At 40.8% G+C, this 12,258-nt stretch overlaps 1 annotated feature.

Moving 5' to 3' along the window:
* Positions 251 to 340: a silencer, noted in NCBI's record as "silent region_20134". NCBI's record gives its function as "represses an Ori minimal core promoter by ATAC-STARR-seq in GM12878 lymphoblastoid cells {active_cell/tissue: GM12878}" and the evidence as "EXISTENCE:reporter gene assay evidence [ECO:0000049][PMID:35858748]".

The following is a 12,258-nucleotide window of genomic DNA, read 5'->3' as shown; positions in this document are numbered from 1 at the left end:
TGACGGGTTCTCTTTGAGTACCCCCGGGACACCCACTAAACGGCCCCAAGAGCGCTAACCCCACAGAGCCCTAGAGGTTTTCCTGCTCCTATCCCATCCACGTTTTCCTCGTCACTGCAGTCTAAGCTTCGCGAGCTCCTCCCCTTCTTCGCCACTGGCTCCTCCTACGCAAGCGCACTGTGACCCGGAACTTGACTACCGTTCAGCGTGTCTCCCAGAGCTGCTGCGCTGGAGCTGAGGGAGCGCGCAGAGCGGGGCGGTTGGGCGGGGCCTCTGTGTAAGCTGCGGGGCTTCGCGGGCTTTGGGTTGGGGAATGAATGGCGTGGACCGTACTTGTCAAATGGAAGGAGTCGCAAAAATTTCGATTGCACAAGTGTTTCATCCATCCCTCCATTTACTCCAGAAGTCTGTACAATGTCAATGACTGCTGTGTGCTGGCACCCACCTGGCACAACGACTGTGCTCCCTGCGTACCCGCACTTGATGGATACAGCAGTTCATGAAGGAAATGGGGACTAGGGGATGTGAAAGATGTTCCTGGAACCTCCCTCCTTGCTCACAGCCCCCATTTCCCTATCCCCTCACCCCACCACCAAAATTCATATAGGAGATGTCGGTATCTAGCAGGAATGGCACCAGGTTGTCTCTAGGGTTACCATTCCATGCTCCTCTGTTATCCAGAGGACCCGTACTTACCCCATGCGCATTCATCTGAGGGTCATGTAATGGCCTTTTTTAGTGTCAATGTCCTCCTAAGACTGTATGATCTAGGATGGTAGAGACAAGGTCTTGCTCACACTTGAGTCCCCTGACAGTTGAATACCCAGATCCTAACGCAGAGTTTGGCCCAGGTAAGATTCAGATTTACCTCAATATAAGAAACACAAATGAGCAGCTACTCTGTACAGTAGGCTATGTGATATATAGCATACAAAAATAGGCTAAGTCCGCTTTCTAGGAGCTCACAGTCTAGGAGGGTTGGAACGCTTTTCATAAGATAAGGTGAGGAAAGGGGGCACTCAACAAAGGAGCAAATAGCTAGGGATGGGGACTGTCGAAGGCAGACCATTGATCCTTAACGCTGGTCCCCAGGGACAGAGAAAGAGAAAAGGGAGTGGGGGAGGGAGGGGAAGAAAAGTAGTAATTTTGTTTTGCTTGCTTATTTGTATTTTTGTGCCAAACTATTTTTTTTCTATTATGTTTTCTCAAAAGTTGAATATTTTCTCACATCTGCAGCAACCTGGGCCATTATTGCATAAATTCCTCTTTCCTCAATGTCTGCTTCATGTCAGTCCTCTAACCTCTCTCTCCCAGTTCTTCCTCCTGACACCTACCACTCCTCTGATTGCTTAACAAGTGTTAAATTGTAGAAATGGTTTCTGTTCTCATTGTTCAGCTTCACAACCACTTTATTTCTAGAACATATGGTCTCTAACTCATTAAGAAATAGCCGAACTGACCGGGTGCGGTGGCTCACGCCTGTAATTCTGGCACTTTGGGAGGCCGAGTCGGGCGGATCACGAGGTCAGGAGATCGAGACCATCCTAGCTAACACGGTGAAACCCTGTTTCACAGGCTAAAATACAAAAAATTAGCCGGGCGTGGTGGCGGGCGCCTGTAGTCCCAGCTACTCGGGAGGCTGAGACAGGAGCATGGCGTGAACCTGGGAGGCAGTACTTGCAGTGAGCCGAGATCACGCCACTGCAATCCAGCCTGGGCGACGGAGCAAGACTCTGTCTGAAAAAAAAAAAAAAAGAAAAGAAATAGCCAACTATCTATCTATATACACCATTTTATAATTTCCCAATTCCAAAAAGCTTTTCATTTATCCAGTTTTTTGTTTTTGCTTTTTTTTTTTTTTTTTTTTGAGACAGAGTCTTGCTCTGTTGCCCAGTGCAGTGGCATGATCTCACCTCACTGCAACCTCCACCTCCCGGGTTCAAGCGATTCTCCTGCCTCAGCCTCCTGAGTAGCTGGGATTACAGGCACGTGCCACCACACCCAGCTGATTTTTGTATTTTTAGTAGAAATGGGGTTTCACCATGTTGGCCAAGCTGGTCTCAAACTCCTGACCTTAGATGATCCACCTGCCTTGGCCTCCCAAAGTGCTGGGATTACAGGCATGAGCCACCGTGTCCGGCTCCATCCATCCAGTTTTATAAGCAAGCATAGTAATCTGGTAGATTTATTTGACACTATCCCCACCCTTACATTCTCATATCCAATATATTATCAAGTTTTGTCAATGTTATGTCCCGCACATTTCTCAAACCTGTCTGTGTCACACCATCTCTACCAGCACCTTAATCCAAACTTTTACCTGGATTAATACTATACTCACCTCAATTTCATTTTTGTTTGTCTGCCAATCCATTCTCCCCAGAGCAGAATAATAATATTCTTAATATGCAAATCTAATCTGCCATTTGATCCTAACACCTGTCAATGATTTACTTTCATTTCAAGGTTAAAGACCAAAATCCTTAGTGGGACCTACAATATTGCCCTGCCAAAATCTTCACTCTATTTTACTTTGTTCTATCCACTTTGTCTTTCTGTCTTACCCACTGGCCTTCTTTCAGTTCCTTAAAAACACCCTTCTACCACAGGGACTTTGCACATACTATTCCCCCTACTTCATGTATTATTTTCCTTGTTCTTCATATTCTTAGCAACTACACATCCTCTAGGTCTCAGATTTAACATCACTTCTTAAGAGAAACTATCTCTGACTCCCAGATCAAGTCATTACAAAGATGAATTCTGCCAAGTAAGCGTGATCAAAGTAAAAGTGTGTGTTCAGAACTCCATTTGCTCCTCCTGGTGCACTCTTCACGTTTCTCTGCCATGCCTTGTGGCTAAGCAGGCTGATTTGTGTGGACTACACCAACATCTCCCTGGCCTCCCTGGCCCTCAGAGCAAATGAGGGTGTCAAGGTGTTTATCCCCTGCACCTCCAAGCTGGGTCGCTGCACGCTGGCTACTCCCTCAACCAAGTGCCAGCTACAGCTTTTGTCAGGCAGCTGTCTCCATGGAGGTTTCTTTGTCTCCAAGTTCTAGGAACTGCTGCCTCCTCTCGCTCCTCCAAGCTAAGGGGTACCATCAACAGTGCTATCACATACTACATTATTACTTCTGGTTCCCCTAATCCCTGCCCACTCCTTTGTAAATAGTTCTTGTATTTAACACTTTTCAAATTACCCTCTTGCTGTTTGCCATCTGTTTCCTCTGGGGACCCTGACTGCGACATTGCCCTGGGGAATTTTTGGTGTAACTAAAGTTTACATCATTGGTGTCAAAACTTTTATTTATGGCCAACCAAAAGGATTATCTAGTCCTTTATATTTATAAAATGGAATACTATATGGTTACTGAAAAAGCATGTTTTTGAAAATAGAAACAGGATAGAAATATGTTGAATTTGGTCTCAATTTTATTTTAAAAAATCTTAACTAATATTTGTCTCTATTCAACAGATATGCTTCAAAATGTTAATAGTTGCTTTCAGAGTGACAGAATTACTTTTTTGTATATGATTTTCTCTATTTTCCTGGTTTTCTGCAATAATATTACATTTTTATGATAATAAAGATATATAATATATATACATACACGTTATTTTAAGACATTTTTAATTGATCCAATTATTCAAGTTATAAAATCCATTAATTAATTAAAGTATAAATTAAACAAGACAATGAAAGTATATTGCCTAGGACACTACTTGCACGAGGTGGACACTCAATGTATCAATAACAATTTATCATGACAAATAAATGTTTTCCAAACTTCTCAGCTTTATTAAACAAAATACAGAGAACACAAATTAGACTTTTCTGGATGACTTGGGAATATTAATTATCATATTGTACTTTAATAGGATGCTCTGAGCTCATTTAATTCAATTCTTTCATTTAACATACCAAAAAAAATCTGTAAAATAGAATCATCCCCAGAGAGGTTAAGTGACTTCCCTGAGGTCATATACAGCTAATTAGTGCTCTCAGCTCATTTTTTTCTCTCTAAAGACTTCCTCCAAGATCTGCTTCCTTTCCTCCAGAGAAATACTTCTTTTCCTATATTTGTCAGTACGTGCAACTTATTTAATTCTATTGCAAACTTTTTTTTGACTAATTAACCCTATTCCTAACTCTGTAATACTACATTATGTATTTTTTCTTTCTCTCTCCTTGTCTCAGTTCTATTTTGATTCTGGAAATAGATGTTATCAAGTGAAATGAATACTAATAATAGATAACAGTGAAAGAAAATAAAATAGATTCAGAATAAACTTAGATTTAAGAATGAGTTGCTGCAACTATCTGAGGCTGGTGACGCAGTTGGTAAAAAGAATTTACCAAGGCAGGCTGGGCATCATGGCTCACTCCCGTAATCCCAGCACTTTGGGAGGCCGAGGTGGGCAGATCAGTTGAGCTCAGGAGTTTGAAACCAGCCTGGCCAACATGGTGAAACCCCATCTCTACTAAAAATACAAAAATTAGCTGGGTGTGGTGGCACATGCTGGAATTATACCAGCTACTTGGGAAGCTGAGGAGGGAGGATCGCTTGAACCAGGGAGGCAGTGGTTGTAGTGAGCCAAGATCATGCCAGTGTACTCTAGCCTGGGTGACACAGTGAGACCCAATCTCAAAAAAAAAAAAAAAAAAAAAAAAAAAGAATTTACCAAGGCAGTATATGAGAGAAAGTAGTAAAAATGCATTGCAAGAAGGCAATGGGCAGATCAGCAAGAGAGGAGCTGACTGCAAAGAGACAGAGGCTTGCTTGGGTTTTATAGGATGATGCTTGTGCTGGAGAGGGATATGTGCAGTACAGATAATGGCTAGGTTGCAGTGAACTAACTTGCATTTTTCTATCAGCTGAGGGACTGGTGATAGCTGGGTGCAGGAAGATTGTGAGCTATTTGCGCAGGAGGGCTATGTGTCCTGGACCATGAAGAAAGGCAGACTCACAGCTTATCTGCTTTTTCTTTTTGCTTTCCCCTGCTCCCACCAGCCTGACTCCCTTTCTCTAATTAGGACTCCACATGAATGCCATCAACTTTTAGAGCCAATTAACATGCCTTGTACTCCCCTTCAGAAATCACACAAATGCCTACCATCACCTTTCTCCACCTCTTTATACTAACAGTACTTTGGTGAGGTGTAATTTATGTATTAAAAATGAATACATTTAAGTGTAAAGCTTGATGAATTTTGACAAATATATACACTTGTGCAACCATCATCCAGATCAAGGTGAAGAAATTTCCTTAACTTCGGGAAATTCCTGTATGTCTCCTTCCTGTCATCTTCCCCCCAGACCCCACGAGACACACCACTATTCTGATTTCTATCACCATAGCTTGGTTTTGTCTGTTCTTGACCTTCTTATAAGGAATCATGCAGTGCGTACTCTTTCATTCCGTGTATGAGCTGTTCATTTCTTTATATTGCCATATAGTATTCTACTGTGTGAATACACCTCAATTTATTTATCTGTTCTTCTGTCAATAGACACTTGGGTTATTTCCAGTGTGGGCTATTATGAATAAAGCTATTATAAACATTCCTGCACAAGTCTTTTTTGGAAATACAGTAAACTTTCTTAAAACAGGAGGGTTTTTTTGCTTTTTTGTTTTTTTAGCTCATCAGCTATTGTTATTGTATTTTATATATGGCCCAAGACAATTCTTCTTCTTCCAATGTGGCCCAGGGAAACCAAAAGATGGGACACCCCTGGATATGCCTAGGAGTAGAATTCCTCCATCATGAGGTAAGTACATGTTTCACTTTTTAAGAAACTACCAAACAGTGGCCGGGCGCGGTAGCTCACGCCTGTAATCCCAGCACTTTGGGAGGCCGAGGCAGGCGGATCATGAGGTCTGGAGATAGAGACCATCCTGGCTAACACAGTGAAACCCGTCTCTACTAAAAATACAAAAAATTAGCTGGGCGTGGTGGCGGGTGCCTGCAGTCCCAGCTACTCTGGAGGCTGTGGCAGGAGAATGGCATGAACCCGGGAGGCAGAGCTTGCAGTGAGCAGAGACCGTGCCACTGCACTCCAGCCTGGGCGACAGAGCGAGACTCAGTCTCAAAAAAAAAAAAAAAAAAGAAACCACCAAACAGTTTTCCAAAATGGTTGTTTTATTTTACACTCTTTCCCATTACCCCACATCCTCACCAATACTTAGAATTACCAGTCTTCTAAATTTTAGCAATTTTGATGAATATGTGTTAGTCTCTCATTATGATTTTAATTTGTTGAGCAACTTTTCATACATTTAGCAGATATCTATTTTGTGTGTGAAATATCTGTTCATTTTGCCCATTTAAACACTTGGGTTGTTTGTCTTTTTATTATTGATTTGTAAGAGTTCTTTAGATATTCTGTTTACCTGTTCTTCATCTTTTCCAGTCTGTAGGTTGCTGTTTCACTTCTTTAAAGTGTCATTTAATAAACGAAATTTTAAAATTTTTATGAAGTCCAATTTATTGACTGTTTTTTTTTTTTGTCCAGTTAGTGAATTGTGTTATAGGAAACAGTTATCTGCCCCAGCACGGTGGCTCACGCCTGTAATTCCAGCACTTTGGGAGGCTGAGGTGAGCAGATCACTTGAAGCCAGGTGTTCAAGACCAGCCTGGGCAACATGGTGAAACCCTGTCTCTATCAAAAATACAAAAATTAGCTGGGCATGGTGGTGGATGCCTGTAGTCCCAGCTACTTGGGAGGCTGAGGTGGGAGGATTGCTTGAGCCCAGGAAGTGGAGGTCTCGGTGAGCTGTGTTCACACCACTGCACTCCAGCCTGGGTAACAGAGCATGACCCCAACAATCCCCAAAAAAAGAGTAGTCCAGAGACTTTTGCAAAGAATGAATGGATGGGGTTTGCTTTATCAGATATTAAAATATTGTATAAAGAGGCTGGGTGCAGTGGCTCATGCCTGTAATCCCAGTACTTTGGGACGCTGAGGCAGCTGGATCACTTAAGGTCAGGAGCTCGAGACCAACCTGCCCAACATGGTGAAACCCCATCTCTACTAAAAAAATAAGAAAATTAGCCAGGTATGGTGGCAGGTGCTTGTAATCCCAGCTACTCCAGAGGCTGAGGCAGGAGAATTGCTTGAACCTGGGAGGCAGAGGTTGCAGTGAGCCGAGATCATGCCACTGCACTCCAGCCTGGGCGACAGAGTGAGACTCCATCTCAAAAAAACAAACAAAAAAAAAACGTATATATAAAGATAAGTAATTTTAAATGTATGTTACTCCAGAGAAATGGAAATTTTTAGCAAAGAAACAGAATAGAGTTCAAATATAAACAGATACTTCTAAGCACATGGGCAAGGATGTACAAGCCCATAAATGATATTGAAACAACTATTTATTCATTGGGAAAAGAAATCAAATACTTACCTTACATTAAGGCAAAAATAAATTCCAGATGGAGCTTAACATTAAGAAATCATACCAGTATTAAAAGCAGAAATGAAAAGTGTTTATAATCTTAATGAATATCTTATGCAAATGCAAAATAATGGGAAATTAACTGTAAGAATTGTCTTCTGCCTGAGATAATAGACAAAAATACATGAGAAGCAATTTAAAACAAATGAGATAACATTTTTCAGGATCAGATTAGGAAAAATTTATTAATAAAAAACATGCTTTGTGTCACTTAATGGATACCCTGATACATTACTAGTGCACATTTATATTGATATAATCTTTTTGAAGGACAGTAGTTAGATTTTAAATGTGCAATCCTTTCAATTTAGAAATTCCACACCTATATACATATATATATTCTAGAGACACAGATGTACACAAAGAGGCATGTATGAGGGAGTTCACTAGAACATTAATTTTGATAAATGGTGTTTAAAAGTCATAAAGTAGGCCAGGCACGGTGGCTCACTCCTGTAATCTCAGCACTTTGAGAGACCAAGGTGGGAGGACTGCTTGAACCCAGGAGTTCCAGACCAGCCTGGGCAATATGGTAAGGCTCCATCTCTATTTTTTTTTAAAAAGTAATAAACACACTGTATAATACTGTATTTCATTGACTCTAATGTGACATCAATTGTAAGACCCAACATTATTTTGTATACCAATAAGAAAAAAAAATGCTGCCAATTGAACTGTGGCACAATACTTTATTATGTAGAATATATATTTATATTTAATGAAAGAGATCTTTTAGACTTATTTAACCTAGATTTATAAGTCACATATCACTTTCTTTTGCACTCACAAAATGGAAAATATAAAGGAAATAAATGAGTTAAGGTATTTTTAAAACAACTTCACAGGCAAGGTGCAGTGGCTTACACCTGTAATCCCAGCACTTTGGGAGGCTGAGGCCAGTGGATTGCCTGAACTCAGGAGTTTGAGACCAACCTGCGCAACATGGTGAAACCCTGTCTCTACAAAAAATACAAAAAATTAGCCGGGCATGGGCACACACCTGTGGTCCCAGCTACTCAGGAGGCTGAGGTGGGAGGATCACCTGAGCCCAGGAGGCAGAGGTTGCAGTGAGCCAAGATCTCGCCACTGCACCCCAGACCAGGCAACAGAGCAAGACCCTATCTCAAAAACAAAAAACAAAAAACTTCACATTAGGTCAGCAAGTCTGACTCTTCTGAATCCCTTTTGAGTCAGAGTCATCAATGATGTGCTTTTTCCCCATGAAGTTGTCCCGTGTGCCATCCAAAGTATTGGTGATACAGCATTTGTTTAAAAAATGTTCCTCTTTTTCAGTTTCTGTTGGATTTTCTAGCAAACTGACACCCATTCTCAGGTTTTGATGCACATATAAAGTCTGTGATAAGAGATTGTATTAATTCATTCTCACATTACTGTAAAGAAATACCAAAATACCTGAAAATGGGTACTTTATGAAGAAAAGAGGTTTAATTGACTCATGATTCCACAGGCTGTACTGGAAGCATGGCGGCATCTGCCTCAGGAAACTTACAATCATGGTACAAGGCAAAGAGGGAGCCAGCATTTTACATGGCTGGAGCAGGAGGAAGAAGAAGAGGGTGGAGGTGCTACACACTGTTGAACAACCAAATCTCACGATAACTCACACACTCACTATCACCAGAATAGCATCGAGGGGTGGTGCTAAACCATTCATGAGAAACTGCATCCATGATCCAATCACCTCCTACCAGGCCCCACATCCAACACTGGGGATTACAACTGAACATGAGATTTGAGATTTGGGTGGGGACACAGATCCAAACCATATCAGAGGTTTTCACGTTAAGATGTGAAAAATTGTATGTTAAAAATTGATGAAATATATGTGTTATACAGAAATATCTCTTCTAGTACATATTAAATGAAAATAGCAATTTGCATAGAATACGTACAATATGATTCCAGTTGTGAAAGAAAAAACTAAAGAGTTTCAGTGGCAGACACTCTAGGTTGACCCCCCAGAGCAATTTATAATCCTCTCTTCTTTTTAACTTCTAATAGCTTTATTGAGATGTAATTTGGGTACCATGCAGTTCATCCATTTTAACTGTATAATTCAATGATTTTTAGTACATGTATTCTATTGTGCAACCATCACCATAATCCAGTTTAAAAGCACTTCCATCCCCATAGGTGGTTAGAGAAAGTGCCAGGAAGTGATCAGGGTTCTGGCTAAGACTGCAGAATAGCCTTGGGCTTGTGGAATGGCTAGGAACAGTTTCTGTGTTGAAGGAATGGCATAAAGCTTCAATTCCATACAGATTTACTTGCATTTTATCATTCAGGAAATCTGCATTATTGTTTAAAATGTGCAGGCTCCCACCAAGCAATTCCCTTTGGCCCTACATTTAAAAGTATAGTAGGGACAGCATTACAATGCACTGCAGTGAGTACAACAACAGAGGAAAATGCTGGTAGGGATCAGGGTGGGGATGGGAGGTGGGGAAGGGGATTATAGAATGAGGTGGTGTAGGTGACGGTCCAAAAATGCACTTACCAGGGAAATGGCACTCAGGGCAGACTCTAAGTCATGCATGTCCTTTTGAGCCTGCAAATTTTTATGTGATCTCCTCCACTGTGTTCCACCCCATTCTGTACTAAACCCATCAGCTCTTAAAATGTATTGTTAACTGCCAGTTTGGTTGTTGGTAATCTCCATTAGACTGCAAGCTCACTGAGGGCACAGACTGAATCTTGCCCGTAATTAAATCCCTAGCTCCAACACAATTCCTGGCACAGAGTAGGGCCCATCTCCATAAAAATAGGATGAATCACTCTACCCTTTGTGCTAAGGATTGCATAATGTCTAGTGTATAAAGATGAATGAGACCTCAGTCCTAGCTTCTTGGATCTTACTCCCTAGTGGGAGTAGAAGGCAGATTCCCACAATAAAGTAAGTTGAGAAAAGGAGCACTAAACAGAGGGGCAGATAACCAGGGATGGGCCTGCAAAAGATAAAACTGTTAATCCCCCTACTAGGCCCTAGGAGTATCACTGCTGTCCCAAAGTAATTATGCTCAGGATATACAGGAAATGTAAGAAAGTGGTAGCCTCTGCATTAGGATGCCCATAATCTAAGAAAAACAAAACTGTGGTATGGAAGGTATGGTTGCTAAAGCCTAATCAGCTAAAGGCTATGGTCAGATTATTCATTCACTTCAGTGAGGGAGAGGACCCCAGAGGAACCTGGAACTTCACTCAACAAGAGGGAGAAGGCAGCATCTTTTGTAAGGTTGTAGTTACATGGAAAATCCTGAGGAGGTCTAAGGGAAGGGGGGGTCAGTTTGGGATTGGCTGCTGTTTCTGAGACAATATTAGGAGAAAGGGGATAAACTAGGGATTGGGGCCAGGTGTGATCGCTCATTCCTGTAATCCCAACACTCTGGTAGGCTGAGGCAGGAGGATAGCTTGAGTCAGGATTTCAAGGCTGCAGGGAGCCAGGATTATGCCACTGCACACCAGTCTGGGTAACAAAGCAAAACACTGTTTTAAAAAAAAAAATCCTAGGAATTGACTGCTTCTGTTGGTGAGATATCCTGGCCAGTCACAGAGAGAACACTGCAAAATCACCAAACATGGAGAGGTAGGACCAAACAATGGAAAACAGCAACAGCAACAAGAAACTTCCCACAAAATGAGCCTGCAAACCAAAAACCAAAGTACAAATCCACTCCTGAGAAAATGGATGATAGAGCAAATTAAAATATTTAATATTCTCAAAGGAATGAAGAAAAAAATCAATAAAAGAAAACAAAATATCCCATGTGTGGTGGCTCACACCTGTAATCCCAGCATTTTGGGAGGCTGAAGCAGGAGGATCACTTGAGTCCAGGAGTTTGAGACCAGCCTGGACAACATGGTGAGACCTTGTCTCTATGAAAAATACAAAAATTAGCTGGGCATTGGGTGCTTGCCTGTAGTCCCAGCTACTTGGGAGGCTGAGGTGAGAGAATTGCTTGTACCTAGGAGGTCAAGGTTGTAGAAAGCCATGTTAATGCCACTGCACTCCAGCCTGGAACAGAGAGAGACACCATCTCAAAAAAAAAAAAAAAAAAAGAGAGAGAGAAAATGAAATAAACAAAACTACTGGAATTGAAAACTACAGTGAAATAAAATCTCAAAAAAATGATAAATACTGATGAATTCGTTGACAGCATCCACAAAAAAAAAGATTCTTTTAAAAATATAAAAAAGCAGTTAAGAAACACAGAGAGTAATTTGAGACATTTCAAAATATATTTAATAGTGAATAACGTGTACATTATGTGAATTATACCTCAATAAAGCTGTTTTTAAAATATCTATTATCTATCTATCTATCTATCTACCTATCTATCTCTCATCTGTCTGTGAGTTCCAGAAGAGAATAAAGGGAATGATGGAAAAGTGATACTGAAGAAACAGCAGCTGATCATTTTGAAAACTGAATAAAGTCCAGGTTCTCTGAAAGAAAGCTCTAGATACAGTCTAGTGAATCTGCAAAATAAATGAGAAACTATTAAAAACTATAACACAGAAGGAGAGAATTCATGGATTGGAAGTCCTTCTTTATCTATCCCCTTAATCTCATGTCCTGCTCCACAAATCACTAGTAAAAGTTTGGTATGTGGGTGCACATATATAACTATATATTTATGCAAATATATTATGCAATTGCTATGCATGTGTTTTTGCTTTGTTTGATTGATAAAAGGATCATACAATATAACTTCTGTGCAATGTTCTCTTTTCATATAGCAATAAACCATGGGGACCTTTAGGACTCTGTAAGAATCTGTT

This window comes from Homo sapiens, chromosome 9 (assembly GCF_000001405.40).
Source record: "Homo sapiens chromosome 9, GRCh38.p14 Primary Assembly".
NCBI lineage: Eukaryota > Metazoa > Chordata > Mammalia > Primates > Hominidae > Homo > Homo sapiens.
Note: the sequence above shows the minus strand (reverse complement) of the source record. Positions and strands in the feature narration are given on the sequence as shown.